A 22511-nucleotide genomic window follows, 5' to 3' on the forward strand; every position below is an offset into this window, starting at 1 on the left:
ACATTGCTCAGGCTGGTCTCAAACTCGTGGCCTGAACTCGGCTTCCCAAAGTGCTGAGATTACAGGCATTAGCCACTGCAGCTGGCCTCATTTTATTAGTTTTAGTTATCGTAAATATTAAAAATATTTTAGAATTTTGAAATTTGACACAATTTAATTATTGACATTATTGATGGATACATTAATATCAATTAATGTGGATTAGCACTGTAGGAGTTTTCTTAGACTGAAAACTTAGTTTTTTCATGGGTTGTAAAAGAAAATGTTGAAATACATTCATGATATGTATTAGTAAATATATGCAATTATTTTAAATCTGGAAAATGTTAGTTCAGATACAATTCTTTTATGATAGCATAAACATAATCAACAGTTTTTTAGGAAAATACATTATCAAGGCACTATATTGTCACATTGAAATAAACAGTATACAGAATATAAAGGCAGTTATGAGATTCTGTATTATTATACAGTATACAATAGTAAAATGCTATTGTTATAATAACAGTTTTGTTATAATAAAATTATTATACAGTGCACAAAAATAATAGAACATAATTAATTGTCAAAACATCAATTAAAAACATCTAAATATTTTGTAGAAAAGAAGCAGGGCTATCTTCTTGATATTTGAGAGAATAGAATCATGTGAATAATGAGGTAAAATAGCTTTTGTATGGTATTTGCTGCATTATGAGGGTGTAGCCAGAGTCCAAGATGGTTCCCAATGATACCTGCCTCTTGTTGTATATACCCCGGTAGTTTGCTCCCATTCTGTATCAGGTTTGATCTGTGTGACCAATAGAGTATGGTAGAAATATTTATAGGTCATTTCTATGGCTAGGCCATGAAAGGCATTGGTCTCTCTCTGCTTGCTTTCTTGGATCACTGGCTGTGGAGAATGCCAACCACGATGTCATAAACACGTTCAGGCAACATGTGGAGAGAACAGTGTGGCAAGGAAATAAGGTCTCTTGCCAACAGCCAGTGAAAAACTGAGGCCTCCTGTTCTCCCAAAAGCCATGAGAGTGAACCAACTTGGAAGTTGCTCGTCCAGCCCTAGTGAAGTCTTCAAATAACTGCAACCCCAGCTGAAAGCTTGACTGTTGTTGAGAGACCCTAAGCCAGAACCACAGAGCTGAGCCACTTCTGGATCACTAGACTTCTGAAACGTGTGAGATAATAAAAGTTCGTTGTTTTACCATGCTTGGTTTTAAGATATTATGATACACAATGAGTAACACATGCAGATGTCCTTCATCTTTATCAAATGACAGTATGCGTGAAATAATCTGAACACAAAAGTGCTCTATGGAGTTCATTAGTCTTTCTCTTTATGCTAAATAGGTACTAAAAATTAAAAGCTTATGTAACTTCAAAAACTATGCTTTCATAACATACATAACTTAGAAATATGATATTAAACAATAAAAATGTGTGTTTCTCAGATCTTAAAAGATCATTTTCAAATATTGAGTTGTATATGATGGTAGAAATTAAAATTTAAAATATTCTGCTATGTAAAAATAGAACAATCATTCATTTACAGAATATGGAAAATATGTATCAAATCATTCTATCAACTGCTCTAATGTCTATAATCTATATTATAAATGAAATAACAGTGGATATCTGTGCTAGTTTTTTGAAAAAGTTTGCTCGAAAATATTTATATCCTCTTTTTCTCTAGAGCACTGTTCCGGGTCCTGGAACAAACCCAATTTTATATCTTTGTTCCTTTTCCCTCCCCAACTGACCTACCATTCACAGGCATATTCTTAAAATACCACTCATATGACTTGAAGCTCAAATACAGTTTGTATTTTGAGAAATCTTTCACATATAATGAGCAGAACAAAAAGATGGTAGCACAAGGTCGATGGCAGAAGAGGGGCAAAGCTCAGCGTTAACAGGGAAAATAATAAAAAATAAATGTAGGCTTGGTGCAAATGCTGGAAATCACATGGTAAAAAGTCGAAGTTATCGCTCAGTGTGAGGAAGGAGGAATTACGAGAGACTCAAATTCCTGAAGGAAATCATGAATGACCTGGATAGGGCTAGCAAAGCATACTTCCAAAACGAGAGGGATGGAGAAGCAAAGCAGCTCATTGGCAGCAATCGCAACCAGTCCCTCCTCATCATGGAGATGGAGAGCGGTGCTTCGGCCAAAGACATGAATGGAACCTTGAAGCTTGCTTTTCCAGACTGATTTCCCTCAAAAGTTTACCATGCTCTTCAAGGGGACAACGAGCCTGAAGAGATCACATGCTTGTGTCAATTACCCCGAAATGCAGCCAACTGGAACTTAAAAACCAGCGAGGGGATGCAACAAGTGTCAGGCTTCAAAGACCCCAAAGGTGGTGGCAAAGACGTGCTCGCCCAGGCCATAGGCAATAACGTGGGATGCCAGCAGGAGGTGCTACGACTGGTCACTGAAATAAGGGGAGGGCCAGCTGCCACTCAGAAGCTCCCACCCTCAGTCGGATGTGTCAGTGCAGCCAGGAGTTCTTCGTTTGTCACAAGGACGTTTGACCTTTGAGACCTTTAAACAGCCCCATCTGTCCTCCTAACCTAACAGTAACTGAAACACGTCTGAGAGCCGTCATGCGACTCAGTGCCCCTTTACTTTTCTACCCTGAGCCCTAGGTGTCAGCACTGCATGTCTGGAACCACTAATTTGGGATTGCTATTTATCATGCTTGCTTTTGTAGATACAGTTCTCCAAGCATGAGGTTTCTGGATCTGCAAGTAGGAACAATTTTTGATGCAAAGAATAAAAGGACCAAGTAAGAAGAAAGAAAGAGAAAGAGAAAGGGAAGGGAAGGGGAGGGGAAGGGGAGGGAAGGGGAGGGGAAGGGGAGGGAAGGGGAGGGGAGAGGAAGGGAAGGGAAGGGAAGGGAAGGGAAGGGAAGGGAAGGGAGGAAGAAGGAAGGAAGGAAGGAAGGAAACAGTTGAGGACCTTTCTTAGGATAATTGAACTTCTTTCACGATAACAGTATAACTCCAGCTCCATGATAATTGCCTTACAATTCTAGTTCTCTAATGTAGGGAATCGAGCAAATGTATAATTGTATATTTTATCTGGTTTTGCTTTATACATTATTAGGTTGAGAACAAAATTCTTTGCAGGTTTTTACATCCTAAACAAAAACAGGGGTCTTTTCTCTAGCTTTGGACATTTCTATGGTAAAATCAAAACGTTCCCTTTACCAGCCTGGGAAGCTGAGCACTGATGCTATCTGCTTGAACTTAGCCAAACTATCTGTCTGCAGAATGGTGGGAGATTTCTTCGTACACCTCAGAATATTTGCCAGGCTTTGGAGTCACAGCGTAGCCTCATTAATGTTTGAAAATCCACCTGTTTGAAATCTCTTCGGATCCCTTGAATGTGGGAGAAGAGGGGCCTGTGAACTCCTAGAATGCCTTCTTTCAGCACTGTTGCCTCACCCTCAATAATTTTTTTCCCTGACAACCTAGAGTTTCTCTTCTTGATTTTTCTCAGCTCTCCTGCTCTGTCCAGATTCATTCTAATAGGTACATTGCACTTGTTAACTTAAACAAAGTAAAGCCCCACAATTTATCAATTTGGAAAAGAAGAGGAGACTTTATTTCTTATAAAGGGTTATATCCTGCAAGTTGGCTATCTCACAGGTGGAGAAGCACAGCCTCCAGCAGAGACCAGAGACAGGCACTTTGAAGGAGGAGGTGTTGGGGTAGAAGCTTTATGCTAAACAGATTGGCCAAACATAAATATTCAACAGGTTACAGGAAGGTCTAGGATTATTCATGAAGGTGGTCATGATGCTTGTGTATTGAACAAACAAGCATGTAATGTATGACTCATGTTCACTTTGGGGTGGAGACTTAACATTTAAATGTATTACATTCAGGACCTATACATCAAAAGGTATTTTCAGGACACAAAGGCCCACAAGTGCACAGTCTCTCTAAACAGGCCAGAGCCATGGTCGGTGGTGGTCTTTTTATCAGAAGAAAGTAACTGAAATCAGTGTCTTGTCCAATGAAAGCTGTAGTTATGGCCAGTAGAACAGGGATTCGGTTAGCGTCTGTGAGCTGGATGTAATTGTTTTAATATTGCTCATCTCCAGGCCAGTGCTTGTTTAGCTGCTAGAGAAAAAGAAAAACATGATGGTAGAACATAGTCATTCTTTAAGTGGAGGGGTGCAGGACTTAACCCTTGCCTGGCATGGACTTAGGTCCTGTTTATAATTTGATGTTGCCACGAAGAGTCTGTTCTGTCAGTCTTATGATCTCTTTTTTAACATTAGTGCTGATCAACTGTATCTAAACCATAAAGGTAGGGGGGGTGTGTATAATGAGGTGTTTCTGACCTCCCGTCCTGTCATAGCCAAGAACTCAGTTTTAAGGTTTTACTGGGGTTCCATTGCCGACAAGATGGTCCATTCAGTCAGTGGGAGGGAGGTGACTCAGATTTTATTTTTAGTTTACACACTTGATGGATGGAGTCTCTTCAACACAGAGTGACCACCTCAACTCTCCTCCATTCTCAGCTTTTGGTGTATTACCACTGAACATTTAATAAACACCTATGAAAACATGTGGCAGGTAAGTGGAGCTTTGGATTCACTTTGTGCCTGAGGCTCTTTGGAATTTTAATCTGTCACACCAGCCCAAGAACAGATATTGAATTTTTCTGAAAAGTTCAGCTGCTTTCATCTTCCTTTGTCACAGAGGCCTTGTGTCTTCTACCCGTAGTTCCACCATAGGTAGAAGTTCCCCCATGAAAGCTCATATGAAGAGCTTTTCATTTTCTGGAATTTATTCCACCTAGGTTTCTTTGAGTCCTCAAACTTGTCATCATTTTAAAGGAAACTATAATTTTATGGCATACTTAGATTGTTAGTTTTTTAATGTGAACACAACCTCTTGCAAATTTTCACATCCAAACTGGAGCAGAACATGTACTTATTTATTTTTAAATTTTTTATGTTTGCATCTTTAACATTTTGGGGGAATTCATTAAACAGTTAAATCTGAGTGAGCCACATGTATTCATAATAGTTTGCAAGGGAAGTGCCTAAATTAAAATGCTGTTTCAAACACTGACTTCTTGGGGAATTTGTTATTGCAAACATATTAGCAAAGCAATGAGCAGAAAAAGTAATGGTTCTATAAAAATAGCAGGAAGCTGTCTTTACTATCAAAACCTTCTATCATATTGTTTTTTTCCAACCACAAAAAAACCCCACACATTTGAGAGGAAAGAAATTATCCCTCCAGATTGAGTCCCAAGGAGGCATTTGCTTTCACCTTTAGGGATCAAACCAAAAGAGGCAATACTTGCATTCTGGAACTTTGCCTCTGGAAGCTATTTTTAAGCTACTAATATTTTATTATCTCATCTTAATTTCTTATTTTTCACACCTGGAATAATTTATTGACACCCTATCTAGTTTCTTATTACAGTCTTCCTTTTATTGAATATTCTTCCCTAATTATATTGAACAAACTAAAACAATATAGCCATAATATTAATTTTCTTTTAAACAAGTCTGCTCTGCATGGCATAAAGATGCCAATGGAGGGGAAGAAACAGTAAGACACTTTAACTAATTAAACTGGTATTTTGTATTAGAAAATATCATTTTTCTAAAATTATATTAGTTCATATTTCTTGATTGTTTACTTCATGCTAAGCATAATTTTAAGTTTATTATGATAGATTAATCAATTAATTCTCACAACAACTCTGTGAGATGATTAATATTGTTGTCATAATCCCTGTTTTACAGATAAAAAAGGATAGGTTAAAATACTGTCCGAGGTCAAAAAGCTACTGTGATACTTAGTTGGTTATTTTAGTCTTCTCTAAGACCTAAAAATGTAACCAATATACTATTCTGCCTTCTTTGATAGATTGGTTTACTTGGAAATAGTAACAGGACATAAGCTGTATGTCTAAGTCAATCATTTAAAAGAAGTGGTAATTACAGACTCACACCTGTAATCCCAGATCTTTGGGAGGCAGAGGTAGGCAGATCACTTGAGGCCAGGAGTTTGAGACCAACCTGGGCAATATAGTGAGATCCAATCTATACAAAAATATTTAAAAAACAAAAATTAGCCAAACACGATGGCACACACTTCTGGTCCCAGATACTTGGGAGGCTGAGGTGGGAGGATCACTTGAACAAGGGAGGTCAAGCCTGTAGTGAGTGATGATCATTCCACTACTCTCCAGCCTGAGTGGCAGAGTTAGAACCTGTCTCAAAAATAAATAAATAAATAAATAAATAAATAAATAAATAAATAAATAAAAGAAGTGGTAAAAGTTGCTTTTGCTTCATTTAGCTTTATTTTAAAATCAGAAATCTATGAAAAAGTAGATTAATTTTGATTTTATAGTTTAATTGGATAATTTAAATTTTACTTTCTGTAAACACAGTTTTGGAAGTAAAGGATCAAGATGAGTTTAATATTCCTGTGAATATGCTAATGAAAATCTGATCATCAGGGTCAAAAGCAACTGGAAATAACTTGGGTAGTTATTCCACTTTGATGGTGGCAGGAGGAGGCTGCAAATTTAGTAGCCAGAATTTAACTCAATAAATTTTCATCCGATTCCTGGTCTAGGGAGTAGTAATCATAACAATAATAATTAGCATGTATTATACACTTCTTCAGTGTGAGATATTGTCCTAAGTATAGATTACTTCCATGTGTTCAATATTGGACAGACAATATTTTCCTATTTAAACTTCCACTTATAAAGAGATGAAATTTATTAATAATAAATATTATAAAAATCAGAACTATATATCAAATATCTATGCTTATGCAGAAACAGGAAAATAAATTCCATCCATTAACCTTTTCAGAGATTTGAATCTATGAAAATTACATGTAGGACTACCTTGGTGAATATGAAGACTTTTCCTTTGAAGAAGGCAAGGTGAATTTGGAGAAGAACTCCATCCTGAGCTGCAAGATCCTTCCTCTAATCATTAATCTAAAGATCATTCTAATAGCACTTTCTAAAATACTCTGTATCTAATTCCCATTCAATAAAATACATTTAATTGATCAGTAAGTAAAATACTAAATTAGGGTATCATATTAGTTCTAGGATACACAGTCAAGTTTAATTACTAATGTGATAATGAAAAAAATACAGTATTAAGACTAGACCTGTTATAGAGTAAAAATCTATAGTTTTGTAATATGGAGTTATAAGATTGGCATATCATTCCTAGTCCTATAACCGACTCTCAAATTAAACTTGTGTAAGTAATTAACCTCTGTGTGACCAAGTTTGCTCATCTGTAAAACAGATGCAATAATTATTATCGCCTACCCTGTAGGCATAGTGTGAGGATTAATGAGGTAATTTTTAAAAGCGAGTTCTTCGAAAGGTATTTTAAATTTATAACATCTTACTATCTGTCCTAGGCTGTTTTCTTTATCTTCATTATATACTTACAAAGTCCAAATGCTTTAAACAAATTTATTTTTTTAACTTTTTGAAATTTTAGATGGACCAATTCTCACTAAGAGAGACCTAGATGCGTGGGAAACTAGAGTTGAAATACAATAATAATAATATAAATATTATTCAATATTTCTGTGATTTTCTTATATCTATATTTTATAGTGAACATTGTTTGGGGAAGTGATTTTATTTTCTGAAAGTTCAAAATTTCAAAAATTTTAGGTTCCGTTTTGAATCGAAAAATTAGATACAGAAGGCTGTTGTTATCTATTTGAAGTGAAGTTTCTCAGTCTCAGCACTATTGACATATTGGACAAGATTATACTTTGTTTTGGGGAACTATCCTGTTTATTGCATGAAATTTAGAAGCAAACTTGGTGTCTACCCACTTGATGCCAGTAACAATCCCCTAGTGCTGAGAATCAAGTCTCTGGATATTGACAATTGTTGCCTACAGGGCAGAATTGCGTTAAGTAGAGAATCACTGCTGTAGAGGACTTAGAGTGAGTGGCTTGTCCAATCTGTGTGGTACAGGCAATTTGAACAGTCTTGAATTGGACAAAAGCACACGTATACACAAGCCCATCGAAGGTGATTGTATTACCTGATTTGCCTAGTATTGTTCTGGTTTACAATTGGTATACTTATATCCAGCCTCATTTACAATTTGTAGCACATTTTAAAATATGCAGCGGAGTATCAATATTAATTTCATGCAGTAAAACAAACCAGGGATGATTTTGTTGGCCTATAGTTTGTAATTCTGGCATCTTTCATTTTTGCGGAGTCTTGTAATGTGTAAAATGTATATGAAGTGAATAGAAGTTTCACTTGAAGACATTTTAATATGAAAAGTATTAATTTTCTTATTCAGTCTGTCCTTTTCTAAGTCAGTGTGACTAACACTTCCCTTACAAGGCTAGTATGCTGAGGTCTATGAAGGGGAGTAGGTATTGCATCCAACAACTTCTTTAGATATCTGATGGTGGTGGGATAATGCTGCAGCCTATGCCAGTCACCTGGTGTACCAGCTAACCATGCTTTGGCAGTGCTATGGCCTGAAATGTAAGCGGAGATTCAAGGTAGTCAATTAATTGGGATTCAGTAGGAAAGGTGGGAACCTATACGTTGACTCTAAGAAAATCTAAAAAAAATAGAGACTGTGGAATCCTACTCCAGATCATATATTTTGTTGTGGTTGGTTTTACCAAATAGTGAAAATCTGCAATAACTGATTTTATTGTGTGACTTTTTCTTTTTATAACTCTTTTAGTGGGAATGAGTGTAAATAAATGAAGCTGATATTTAAAGGAAAAAAAAAGTAATAAATTGTTGAGCATACACCATGCCAGAATATTTGTTGAGTTTTTATGGCAACAAACATGGAGGACATTTGATATCAGTGATCACATGACAATCAGAAAGCAAAAAATTTCCAAAGAAATATCCACATCTACTTGAAGAGTAAGTAGATGTTTTAGCTATTTAAATGTTTCCAAAGATGATACATTAATCAATGCAGCTGCAGAAAGTGCATTTATATAGAACTCTTTGAACTTCAGTTTTCATTGATCAAATAGCTGTTACTCTAAATTACTTTTAAAAATTTTCAATTGCAAATTTCCTTATGCATGAAGGAAATGTGACACAGGGTTTTACAGTTTTAATTCAATTAACAGCAGAACTTACCAGTTAATTAAAGTTAATTTATATATAGTTAATTTTATATCAACAGATGCTTCAAACAGAAAGACACTGAGGTTCAACTCTTAAATTAGAGTTTGAGTTTTTTACCTAATCTTTGGGAAAAAAGCAAAGCTTTTCAAAGTCCATTCAGTTGAAAGTGAAAATAGAGATGCTTTTGGTAAACTTAGTTAAAAAGTAAAATACATAGGTTTTGCTTCACAGTATTTGCTATTTTAATAAAAACAAAAATACAAAGTTTCTGGAAGATAACACCATAATTTTAATAATGTTCATATAAATTAAGAATTATGGAAGCAGAAATATATATATATATTTACTTCTTCAGGAGCAATGGAAAATTATCAATAAATTACTTCATAGAACACCAATAATTTTACCTTTTATAGATTTTGAGTTAGAATTCAAGAAAATAATTCATTTTTTTCAAGCACAAAAGATGTCTTTATTGACACATAGATCCAAAGGACCAGATGCGCTGGTATGGAGATGACATTGAAGATGACTGCCTTTCCTTTTCTTCCTCTTTGATGAGTCATCCTCCTCCCTTAAAGCACAGGGTCTGGGGTCCCAGCCTCCAGACTCAGACCCCTACAACTTGGGACAGAGGAAAGGCCATGATTACAACATTCTGGGAAAAGTCCTGAGCTGGGTTACATGTTCAACTCCTGGGCTAATTGCGGAGGCAGTAGTTGGAGTTCGGGCGGGCAGCGGACCTTAAAAGCAGCACCCATAAATCCTCAGATAACAGCACCCCAACCTCCATCTGTCCCAGCAGAGTCAGCTAAGGAATGGTGGCTGGACCTTTCCTGCTCCAGGAGGCCAGAGCTGTGCTGGGGACCCCAACCTTGTAGGGTCATGTGGCTGACAAAGTGCAGCTATTAATACTTTTTCTGCAAGGGTGGAGAGCCACTGCCGCAGGTGTTGAGGAACTAGTGTCATGTTTGTAGGCAGCTCCCAAGTCTGTCTTTGGCTGTCCTGTGCTTCTCACCCAAAACATGGAGATGTTGAGATTTATATTCCAAAAAGCATAGGATATCATATGATGCCAAAATCACTCTTGTTAGTATTTACCCAAAAGAGGTGAAAATTATGTCATCACAAAAACCTGCACGCAAATGTTTACAGCAGCCCTATTCACAACTGACAAAATTTTAAATCAACAAAGATGTCCTTCAATAGGTGAATGGATACATAAACTGCAGTACATCCAAGCAATGGAATATTATTCAGCACTAAAAAGAAACGAGTTATCAAACCATAAAAGGACATGGAGGAAACTTAAATACATATAATTAAATGAAAGATGTAAATCTGAAAAGGCTACATACTATGTATTTCCAACTAAATTACTTATTGAAGAAAGCAAAACTATGGAGATAACAAAAAGATTAGTGGTTGCTAGGGGTTGGGAGGTGTGAGGGATGAATAGGCATAGCACAGAAGATTTTTAGGGCAGTGAAATTATTCTGCTATAATATTCCCATGGGTAGATACCACAATGGTTAATGCATGCCATTATACATTTGTCAAGACCCATAGAATACACGGTACCAAAAGTGAACACCAATGTAAACCATGGACTTTGGGTAAGAATGGTGTAACAATGTAGGTTCGTCAGTTGTAATAAATGTTCCACTCTTGTGTGGGACATGGATAGTGGGGTAGTTGTACATAGTGGGGACAGGGGGTACATGAGAATTCTCTGTAATTTCCCAACAATTTTGCTGTGAACTTAAAACTGCTCTAATGATTAAGTTTATTAAAACAAACAAATAGAAAGTATGGGAGGATATGAACAAATTAAGTGTACACAAATACTTACAATATTTAATTTTGAAATTTTAATTGCATTTTGAAATATACCAACTTATGTGACATCTTTTGATTGTATGCCAATTTTAATTGAAAAGTTGGTATTTTAATTTTTAAGAAATTACAGTTGTTTTACACTTCTCGGTGTATGTCTTCAATAGATGCTTATGGTATAGTTTTAACGTAGTGTTTTTCTTCTTATTCTGTATTATTTTAATTAGAAATATTGGGGTATGTAGATGTAAGTAGGTACCTTATCTTTAGTTATGAAAAATATGTGTTTTCTAATAATTTCAAAAATTTTAACAATATTTAACAAATGACAGTCAATTAAAATGCTTTCTGAAATACTTTTTGTGATTTTTTAAGAGGAGCTGAGGATAAGATAAAAGTCAAGTTTAAATATGCAAACTTTTTTAGAGGCAATAAAAATTATTATTGAAATAATTAAATATAATTAAAATCACCAGTCTATAGCAAACCAAAACATGAAATAATGTTATAAAATTTGTGGAAAAGAGGTACATAAACTGATACATTAAAAAGATAATTTTACAGAATTCTCAAAATTAAGGTCTGGACAAAACAATACTCTTTCTGGGGATATAAGGAAAAAATGGAATATTATATTATAATGCTCTAATATAATATGTTATAGTTATGGTATTCTAGTTTAATATTATATTTTTATATTATTTCAGTACAGTAATAAAACAAGAAGAATATGCAACGTTTGTGAACTCCTTATTCATTATAATATAAGTTGGAAACTTAGATTATTTATTTTAAATATTTTTTTCTCTAATAATACATTCAATGTTACAATGTTATAAATATTCCTCTAAGCACTGCTTTTGCTGCATTGCACAAATATTGATAATTTATATTACCATTTTTACTTAGTTTAAAATATGTTTTAGTTTATTTTAAGACTTCTTCTTTGACCCATATGTTGTTTAGAAGTGTGTTAGTCAATTTCTAAATATTTTGGAATTTTTCAGCTATTTTTCTATTATTCATTCCTCTAATTTAATTTCTTTGTAGTATAAATCATGCTTGGTATAATTCTTACTTTTTATATTGGTTAACATATGTTTTGTGGTCCATAATGTGGTGTATTTCAGTAAATGTTCTATGTGAGATTGAGAAAAATGTATATTTTGCTGTTATTGGATGAAGTGGTCTACAAATGTCAATGAGATCCTGTTGATTAATGGTGCTCTTCAGCTCAACTATGTCCTTACTGATGATTTTCCCGATAGATAATCAGTTAATGATAGAGGTATATTAAAGATTTCAACGATAATTGCAGATTCATCTATTACTCTTTACAGTTCTGTTTTTCTCATGTATTTTGATGCTCTGTGGTCAGGGGCATACACATTAAGAATTGTATCTTCTTAGAGAATTGATTCACTTATTACGTAATATATCTCTTCATTATAATTTTTCTCTCTCTGAAATCTGCTTTAAGTTTTATTTTAAGATGCAGTTTAATTTTGTCTACCCTAGTAGTACCTTCAGCAATAGGCTTTTTTACTCCTAAATTTATGATCCAGTAAGCTAGTTTTCCCTTTATTAGCCTGTCTCGTCAACATGGAGGGAAGTGGTTAGCCCTCTGACCTAAACTCTCTAATGCATCTAAGACGAGTTGTTGATTTTCAGTTTGTTCACTGTTTTAATTATTGTGAGGATGAGAGTGATGACGTCCAAGCTCCTTACATGCCACACCAGAAAATGAACATAGTATTTTAAATAGATATAATTGGCTATACTTCTAAGGCCCAAATAAGAATGCTTCAAATGATTATGATCTTGTTGGAAAATTATCACGGGTTAGAAAAAAATATATCTTTTTATGAAATCACTTATTAGATTTTTTTTTTTTTTTTGAGACATTGTCTCACTCTGTCACCAGACTGAAGTGCAGTGGCGCAAACTCGGCTCACTGCAATCTCCACCTCCCACGTTCAAGCAATTCTCCTGCCTCAGCCTCCTGAGTAGCTGGGACTACAGGCACGTGCCACCACTCCCAGCTAATTTTTGCATTTTTAGTAGAGACAGGGTTTCACCATGTTGGCCAGAATGGTCTCCATCTCTTGACCTCATGATCCACTTGCCTCAGCCTCCCAAAGTGCTGGGATTACAGACGTAAAGCCACCATGCCTGACCCACTTATTAAATCTTTAGTAAAAGAAGCAGAGCTACTTTTATATAAAATAGAAATAATACATTCAATATTTTAATAATATTTTATAATAAAAATATATTTGCATATAATATTTGAATACCAAGATTTCTGCAATCATTATGTTAATATTCAGAGAAACAATTTATCAAGGCTTAAGATTTTTGGTGGTATCTTCTTCATTTAGACAATTGTGTTAAAGTGTTTTCTTTAAATTTGTTTTGTTCCATATCAAAGAATATCAAATCCACACATTTTATTTTCAGCAAAAGAATACAAAGTTTAAATGAGAATTATGTAATAGGCATACGCAAGTAGAAAAATATAAGGGATGTTTACACCCTGAAAATTCCAATGTAAAATGTAGATGTTAACTTCAAAATATTTGAAAATTATTTCAACAGTTTACATATATTATAAAGAATTTTCAATCACTATGTTACTGAGAGAAATAACATTTTATCTAGATTAAAATACTTTTAAAACAATTTAAATTATTAATGAAAATCTTAAGTCATTTTGGATGGCATTTTATTCTTTCCAATAAATGATACAAATTTCTTTTCTATGTGTCTCCAATTTCTAACTGCCAGATCAATAAATATTTGCAACACTTTTTTTCAAGGTTTTACCATGTTCTTCTATATGTTTAAACCTGAAAACATTTGACACTTTAAAAAATCTACTCTATTAACTATTTGAGATAAAATTTATAAATAAAAGTGTACGCTATGTAATACTTTTCATGTCATGATAAAAAGTTAAATATCTTCCTCTCCAAATCTGATACTCAAAGTTAACCTTTTAGCTAGTCTTATTTTTCAAAGTGGTTGGTGCTACTATATAGTATTTACTTGTAATAAATACAATGAAGTAATCTTTTTCTACATTTTAATTTGAAAATTTGAAACCATAGTATTATGTAGTTATTCATTTCCTCCAAATTTGCTATAGTGCAAAGTTTAGATATGAAAGGTGGCCGTATTAAGATTTTATTTTATTGGGACATAATATAATTGAGAAAAGTGGCAGAGAATAATCATTAATGAAACATCAGACTTAAGAGTACTGATTACAGAAACATATAAGCTTTTAAACTGCATATGTAAATACCAAATTTAAAGTTAATTTAATCTGATGACATAGTAAAAAATTAAATTATAATGTCACAGGAATTGTTGCGGAAATGACTAATTAGATTTGCATATAAAATCTTATGAATAAGTTAACTTCGAAAGAAACGTAATTTGGAAGTGTTTTTCTGAAACGATAAAAAAAAGAGAGGAAAAAAAGATGCTCAAAGTAGTAGATTTAGCAATTACTAGTTAGAGGATAATTTTTTCTTCCTTAGCTTATTGTTCAAAAATATCATATGCGCTAAAACAATCAATAAGGAATGACTATATTATCCCATGATTTGTTCTTAAAAAATGGGGAACTCATTACCAAACAATGTATTTAATAGAGTAGAATAACTCAGGAATAGAGATGTTGAATTGAAACTGATAGTAGTGGTCACCGTATCCATTGATTAATTATGCAATAATATGTTTATTCTTGCAATAGAGTATCAAGACATACCTAAGGAATATTATAGGAACAAACATTTCTTACAACTGGGATACATTCTTCTGAAGATTAGTTATTCCTTTTGTTTGATCTATTTTTTTCCTATTACATGAAACAATTATAATAATATTATTACATTAAGTATGCTTTTAAAAAGATGCATAGTTTTATCCAGCTTTGTTCTAGGTAATTTCTTTCTACCTACCACTTACCTACCTTTCTAACTCTGCAAATGTGTTAAATAAAAGTATGATTACAGAATGATGGGATTTGATATAATTTTTAAAATTTTTGATCATTTTTAGTATTATGTGTTCCTTGGATTTTTAAATATGAACATATAAAAACATTACAATCATATGCAAAAAATGAATACTTATATATACTACATTTTGTAGGCTATTTCCTCCAAATTCAATTTGCAAGAGTTGTCTCTGACAATTTATTTAAGATTTTGTCACTTTTTCCCAAGGATGTGTAGGCACTCAATCTGGCTTCAAATTCTTATATTTTTTCATGCTTTTCTTTTTCTGACCAAAACACATATTAGTCATTGTGATAGGTGGGTCTCAAAGGCAATTCTGCTCTCTGGGATCTCAACTAACAAAAATAATGAAATTGAGAAATCAGACTCTGACAAATTAGAGGTCTTATCCAAGACAAAGCTTTATAATAATTTCAAAGACAAACAGTTAAGAGGCGTGTACGAAGGTAGGCAAGATTTGGGAAACAAATGCTGGCTCCAGAGTTTTTCTTATCTGAATCAGTCATGTGCTTTCCGGTCTGAAGACAAAAAGGTCTCTAAGTGAGGTATGCAAATTGATGCTTCATACAAAGGGTACAATTTATTTAATTAAATAGCTTCATTGTATAAACCAATATGTTAGGAAGAATTATATGCCTCTCCCTCAATGATGTTTCTGTCTTAATCCCCAGAACCTATGAACATAGATTCCTTACACAGGAAAAGAGGCTTTTCAGATGTGGTTAAGGTTAAGAACCTCGAGAAGGGGAGATGATCCTGATTTACCATTGTGGACCAAATATAATTTATGTGGCAAAAGAGTGGGTCAGAGAGGTGCAAAACAAGAAAGACTCTATTCAATTGCTGGCTTTACAAATGAAAGAAGGGAGACACCAGCCCAGAAATGAAGCAGGTTTTAGAAGCTAAAAACAACCTTAATTTTACAACCCACTGTAAGATGAGACCTCAGTTCTATACCTGTAAAAACTAACTTCTGCAAGGAAACTAACAAGCAGGAAACAGATACTGTGCTAGAGCCTCAAAAAGTAATACAGCCTGATAACACCTTGATTTTATTCTAGTGAGACCCATTCCAGACTTGTAAAGTAATAAATTTGTGTTATTTTAAGCAACTGAGTTTATGGTAATTTGTTACCATAATAATAGGAAACAAATACACATGGCATTTCTGGAGACTTTCATCTCATAAATCCAATTTTTGGGCTTATTTTCAATAAACAATCCTTGGCCAAGAGCATCCTTACAAGAAGATACCATAAATATGGACCATGCTTCTAACAAATATTAGTCTCCTTGTTAGCATGCATTGATCATCATATTTACGAGGAAATTAGACAAGATCACCTGCCCTTACCCAGAAGTGTTTCATAACTTTTCTTCCAAGCTCGCAAACTGATTGGAAGTGAGTTGATCTCAGGGCAGTGGCTTTCATTCTTTCTTTTTCAGTATTGTTAGTTTTCAAAAACTCCCTACTTGTTTATTGCAAGCATATAGAATGATAATTTGATATTTATATTGACCTTATTAAAGGTCAACGTTATCTACTGGTGTCTTTAATGTAATTTAGAAATTCATTTTATTCCCTCGTATTTGTGAGCTTTTTATTTTATCATGACTATATGCTGATGTTTTTCATGTTTGTTTTCTTTTTTTGCCTGAATTGGGATGTGCTGTGATTTTCTTTCTTTAACTTATTTATTTTTTCTGTTGGCTATATTAACTTCCTATGAATTCTGTATCAAACTACCATAAATTTAGTGGCTCAAACCAACAAAACTTTATTTTGTCACAGTTCTGGGGGCCATAAGTATGAAATCAGTATCAGTAGACCAAATTCAAAGTGTTCTCTGGGCTCTACTCCTCTAGATGTTCTAAGCAAGAATAAGTTCACTGCCTCTTCCAGCTTTGATAACTGTGAGCATTCCTGCCATGTAGTGGCATCACTGCAATCACTGTCTCTGTGGTCACAGTGCCTTCTCTTCAGTCTGTGTTTAAGTCTCCCTTTGTCTTCCTCTTATAGAGGTACATGAGATTGCGTGTAGAACCCACCTTAAAAATTCAGGATAATCTCCCTATCTCAAGATGCTTAACTAAATCACATCAGCAAAAAACCTGTTTTCATGTAACATAACAGTCACAGGTTCCAAACATTAAGCAGTAGATACCTTGGGTGGAAGGGTGGACATTTTTCTGCCTACTCTATTGGCCTAAGTCCTTAGAGAAGCAGACCAAGATAGGATTAAATGTGCAAGAATTGTTTTAGGGAAAATGTCTTTAGAGAAAATGGGGGAAGGAAGGGAGCCACCTGTTTACTTCATTAGTCAATGCCTCTACCATTTGATTTGTTCTTAAAAAGTTGAGAACTTATAACCAAATAATGAATTAATACACTTTAAATTAATTCATTATTTAGTCATGAGTTCTCAATTTTTCAAGCGTAGTACAAAAATCTTCACACTTCATACATCCTTCCATATGTCCATTCCCATGACTCTATTCCTGAATACCTTGTCTCTAATCATCCAGTTTTGTTTTGTTTTGTTTCCAAGTCCATGAACAGACAGCCAAGTCTTGTGTAATGCCCAGGCATCTAAATGTATGATTACCTCGGGTCACTTCTTACTCACCAAGTGGATGTCCAGGCTCACTTATTGCAGTTCTGCCCATTGGGGAGATCTGTCTTTTCTATTGTCATTACAGGGCAATATCCTCAATAGCATCTATATAGATGTCCCTCTTCCGTGTTTCAGGTTCTCAAGTGTTTCCAACTAGGGCCTGACTTATCTTGTCTGAGCAATTCACCACTTATGGAGCTCTGTAACACTAACAATTAGCTTGTCAGCTCACTGATGTTCAGCCGTAACTGCCTTCTACTTCAAGAGACAAAAGGTTTTCTGTAAGTTATCACAGAGGCCTTTCGAGTTTCCCCTTGATAACAGTCGTTGACTTTTCATAAATCTGTATATCAATAACAACTTGAAAATAACCAGCCAACTCTACTGACATTGTAGCCATTGTACCCACCATACTTTCCAAATACTTGTATCATCATGTTTTTCTCAACACCAGAACATTTTCCCTGCTTGTGGTTGGTAAAGTTCTTACCAAGTGAACTATCACCTGTGTGAAGACGGCCATAACATTCTGCCCCACCTACCCACCAGGATGATGTCCTCTGCCCTTGTCAGCTAGTGAATCAGCCTATACCAAACCTTCATCTTGCCACTTCTTTTCTCAGACCACTTCTAGTACCACTTGTTTTGGTTGGCATCTTTCAATAAGCAAATGCTAAGGTGGAATACATGTAGAAAAAATTACTTTATGGCCAGGCATGGTGGCTCACACCTGTAATCCTAGCACTTTGGGAGGCCAAAGCAAGTGGATCACCTGAGGTCAGTAGTTCAAGACCAGCCTGGCCAATATGGTGAAACCCCATCTCTACTAAAAATACAAAAATTTTCCGGGCATGGTGGTGCACACCTGTAATCCCAGCTACTCGGGAGGCTGAGGCAGGGGAATCACTTGAACTCGGGAAGAGGAGGTTTCAGTGAGTCGAGATCATGTCATTGCACTCCAGCCTGGGTGACAAGGGTGAAATTCTGTCTCAAAAAAAATAAGAAAAAATATAAAGAGGTAGCCAGGGGAGTCTAGGAGGGCCATCAAATTATGTTACAGATTCAACTCTGAGTGAAGAAAAGTGGGAGGGATGAAAGGAAGATACTTTGGGCGGAACATTCTTACATTATAATGCAGCTATAAGAACAGTTCCACAAGGCCATAGGGTATTCCATAACATTCAGACCATGTCCTAGGAGAACTCCATTCCCCAAGAAGGGGCTTCCATGAGTAGCCCTGCTGCATGGAGAGAGCAGCTTGTGGAAAGCATGGCCCTGATGCAAGTGCAGCAATCAATATAAAAGCACTGCACTTGGAGTCTTTGATCAGTTATACATTCTGTAGTTGGAGATCGGAGAGATGCATTCTTGTAGCCACCACATTTGTTTTAAATGCTGAATTATATTGATTAATTTTCAAAAATAAAACTAACCTTGTGTTCTTGGAATAAATGTGCATTACCATGATGTATTTGTTTTCAACTGGATTGCTTTGCTAATGCTCTGTTTCCTTCTAATCATGGAGCACATTTATGTAAAATTATTCCTGAATTATCCTTATTAAGTGTTGGTATCAGGGTTTTGCTCACGTCACAAAATGTGTTTGGAAATATTCCTACTTCTTTTATTTTATGTAAGGGTTGGTGTGACATAGTATTATTTCCTCTTTCAAATGTTTGATAGAATTCAACTGTGAAGTCGTATGGGTCAGAAATTTCTTTCTTCTTTTTTGGAAGGGGTAAAAAGTTTCAATAATAAATTCAATTTTTAACAGATATAAAAGTATTCTAATATTTTATTCCTTTTTGACTAATTTAGAAAGTTTCACCTTTGAAGTCAATGGTCCATTTTTTCCTACATTATGGAATCTATAGTTATGTTTCCTTTTCATTATTGAGTATTTGCAATTGTTTTCTGGATCAATATTGCTATTCATATCAATTTTAGGAATCTTTTTTAGAAAATGACCTTTGACTCTTGGTTTTCTCTATTCTTTGACTTCTATTTTATTATTATTATTATTGTTATTATTTCACTAACAGATTTAATTTTCTCTTCTTCTATAGCTTCCTAATGGAGCAATTTGAGTTACTAAGTTTTAAAGCTCTACTTTTTAAAAATTAGAAGCAGATAAAGCTAGAAATTTTCCTCTTAGCACTGCTTTAGCTGACTCCCACAAATTTTGATATGTTGTCGTTTTATAACTAGTTTCCAATATGTTATAACTTGTATTTTAATTCCTCCTTTCAAATTTTTAATATGGTTTGAAAGGTTTTAATTTATCTTGACATAAATTGTTTAGGAATATGTTGATTATTTTGTGTATATTTGGAAATTTCCTAGATACCTTTGTGTTATTCCTTTCTAATTTAATTCCATTTTGATGAATAATATATTTAATATAATTTTAACTTTCTTAAATTTATTGAGACCCTTTCTTATTACTCACAACTCTATTCTGAGAAAAGAAACATGTACCTTTTAAATGAATGTTTATTCTTGCTTTCATTGAGCATGTGTGATATTCTATATATGTCAATTAGTTTACGTTAGTCAAAAGCATTTACATATACAGTCATGCGTTGCTTAATGATGGGAATATGTTCTGAGAAGTGCAATATTAGGTAATTTTTTTGTTGTGTAAACATCATAGAGTGTACTGACAGAAATCAAGATGGTACAGCCTACTACAAACTTAGGCTATATAGTATGGCCTGTTGCTCTAGGCCACAAACTTGTACAGCATGTTACTGTACTGGATACTGTAGGCAATTTTAACACAATGGTAAGAATTTCTGTATCTAAGCATATCTAAACATAGAAAAGGTACAGTAAAAACACAGTATAAAATATAAAAAAAATTGTACACTTGTATAGGGCACTTACCATGAATGGAGCTTGCAAAATTGGAAGTAGCTCTGGGTGAGTGAGTGAGTGAGTGAGTGGTGAGTGCATGTGAAGACCTAGGACATTACTCCACACTACTGTAGACTTTATAAACACTGTATACTTAGGCTACACCAAATTTATAACAAAATATTGTTCTTTCTTAATAACAAATTAATCTTATATTGTAACTTTTTTACTTCATAGACTTTTTAAATTTGGCCTTTTTATAATAACACAGCTTAAAACACATATTGTACATCTATACAAAAATATATTATTTTATTATATCTTTATTCTATAAACCCTTTTCTATTTTAAAAATTTTTAATTATTTTTTTCTTTATTTGTTAAATGTTATTTTATTAAAAATGAAGACACACACACACATTAGCCTAGGCCTATACAGAGTCAGATCATCAATATGACTGTCTTCTACCTCTATATCTTGTCCCACTAGAAGATGGTCAGGAACAATAACATACTAGAAGCTAACTTGTACAACAATGTCTTCTTCTGGAATACCTCCTGAAGGACTTGCTTGAGGCTGTCTTTCAGTTAACTGTGTAGAAAGAACATACTCTAAAATAATAATAAACTATGACATACAAAACAAATGCTAGTGCACTATTACTTGAAAACAAATAAATAGTATATTAAAGATATGATAATAGGCAGTGGGGTATGTGTATGTGTGTGTGTATATCTACATCTATATACCTATATCTATCTATATATTTCCCCTAAGATCTAAAGGTAAAGTAGAGTCCACTGGGGAGACAAATGTAAAGAACATAATGTAGTCAATGGAAACTTCAGGTTCAATAAAAAATTAGAAAAGTGTAATTCTTATTGCCTATAGACACATTTACTTCTTTGATTCTCAATATCTACAAATATTTGTGAACATAGTCTTCTTCTAAATAGAGAAGGTTATGAAATAAAAGCTTACATTGGAGACATTTTCCAAACACACTTTTCAAACTGATAGTACAAACTAGCTCAAAAATATAAAACTGGACAAGAATTCTATTTCATTCTTAATATCAAAAGTCCTTTCTCACTTAAATGTAACTTACTGAAGCACTTTTCCTTGCATATATCCATGCATTCTCTCATTATGTTAAGCTTATTCCATTAAAAATATTTCAAATAAAATCAGTGATTGCTCTTTGTGAAATGTATGGGAATTAAGACATGATTTTCTAATTTTTATTATTGATAAATATTTTAACAATATTTAATTCAGAAGATATAAAATAGGTTTTAAAATTTTAATTATATTTCACTGAAAATACATTTTACCTTCATTTTTCATCAATTACTCAACCTGTATGTTTTTCTACATATCTAAGCTATCACTTTCTAATACTCTTTGTATCTTACTTAACTAAATAGACTATTACAGGTAAATTTTTAATGCTATTTCCAATCAATAGAATTGCAATGTTAATATCAAACAACTCCATTTAAAAAAATACACACACCTTTAAAACACTGTGCTCAAATATTAAATTACATTTCAACAAAAGCTTTCTGTTTCAGCTGCTTATGTTATAGGAGACTTAACTGAAAATATAGAGATGATAACTAATGTTGAGGGAAATTAGAAAACAACATTATTGTACAATATGTTATAATGTTAAATTAGTAAAAATGATGTTTCTACAGAACTGGGTTTATTAAAAAAACTAATAAATATTGGTATATAAATTTTGTTCATGTAAATTAGTACTCAAATTCACTTACTACCACAATTAACTATAATATTAATGTTAATAATTACTTCTTAGTATAAATAATACACCTAAAAAACACTGGTGAAAATATTTTAAATATTATCAAGGTTTTGCATAATTACATAAAGAGAAATGTGCCATTTTTCACACATCATTACTCCTTGAAATACAACCATATACATTTCTGGATATTTTGTTACTTTTAAATTGACAAAATTGAAGATGTTGGAAGAAAGAAAATTGCAGGCAGAAAATGGTA

At 33.7% G+C, this 22511-nt stretch overlaps 1 long non-coding RNA gene and 1 pseudogene across 1 annotated transcript in view; both read left to right on the forward strand.

The window, feature by feature from the left end:
* Nucleotides 1–984: 984 nt before the first annotated feature.
* The window catches only part of LINC01256 (long intergenic non-protein coding RNA 1256), an 87415-nt gene continuing 65888 nt past the window's right edge, over nucleotides 985–22511 (forward strand). Inside the window, exon 1 of the long non-coding RNA NR_126401.1 lies at nucleotides 985–1172. This is a non-coding gene — a long non-coding RNA (long intergenic non-protein coding RNA 1256). The remainder of the gene's footprint in view (nucleotides 1173–22511) is intronic.
* On the forward strand, nucleotides 1980–2432 carry AARS1P1 (alanyl-tRNA synthetase 1 pseudogene 1; annotated as a pseudogene).

The sequence above is a fragment of the Homo sapiens genome, chromosome 4 (genome assembly GCF_000001405.40).
Source record: "Homo sapiens chromosome 4, GRCh38.p14 Primary Assembly".
NCBI classification, from domain to species: Eukaryota; Metazoa; Chordata; class Mammalia; order Primates; family Hominidae; genus Homo; species Homo sapiens.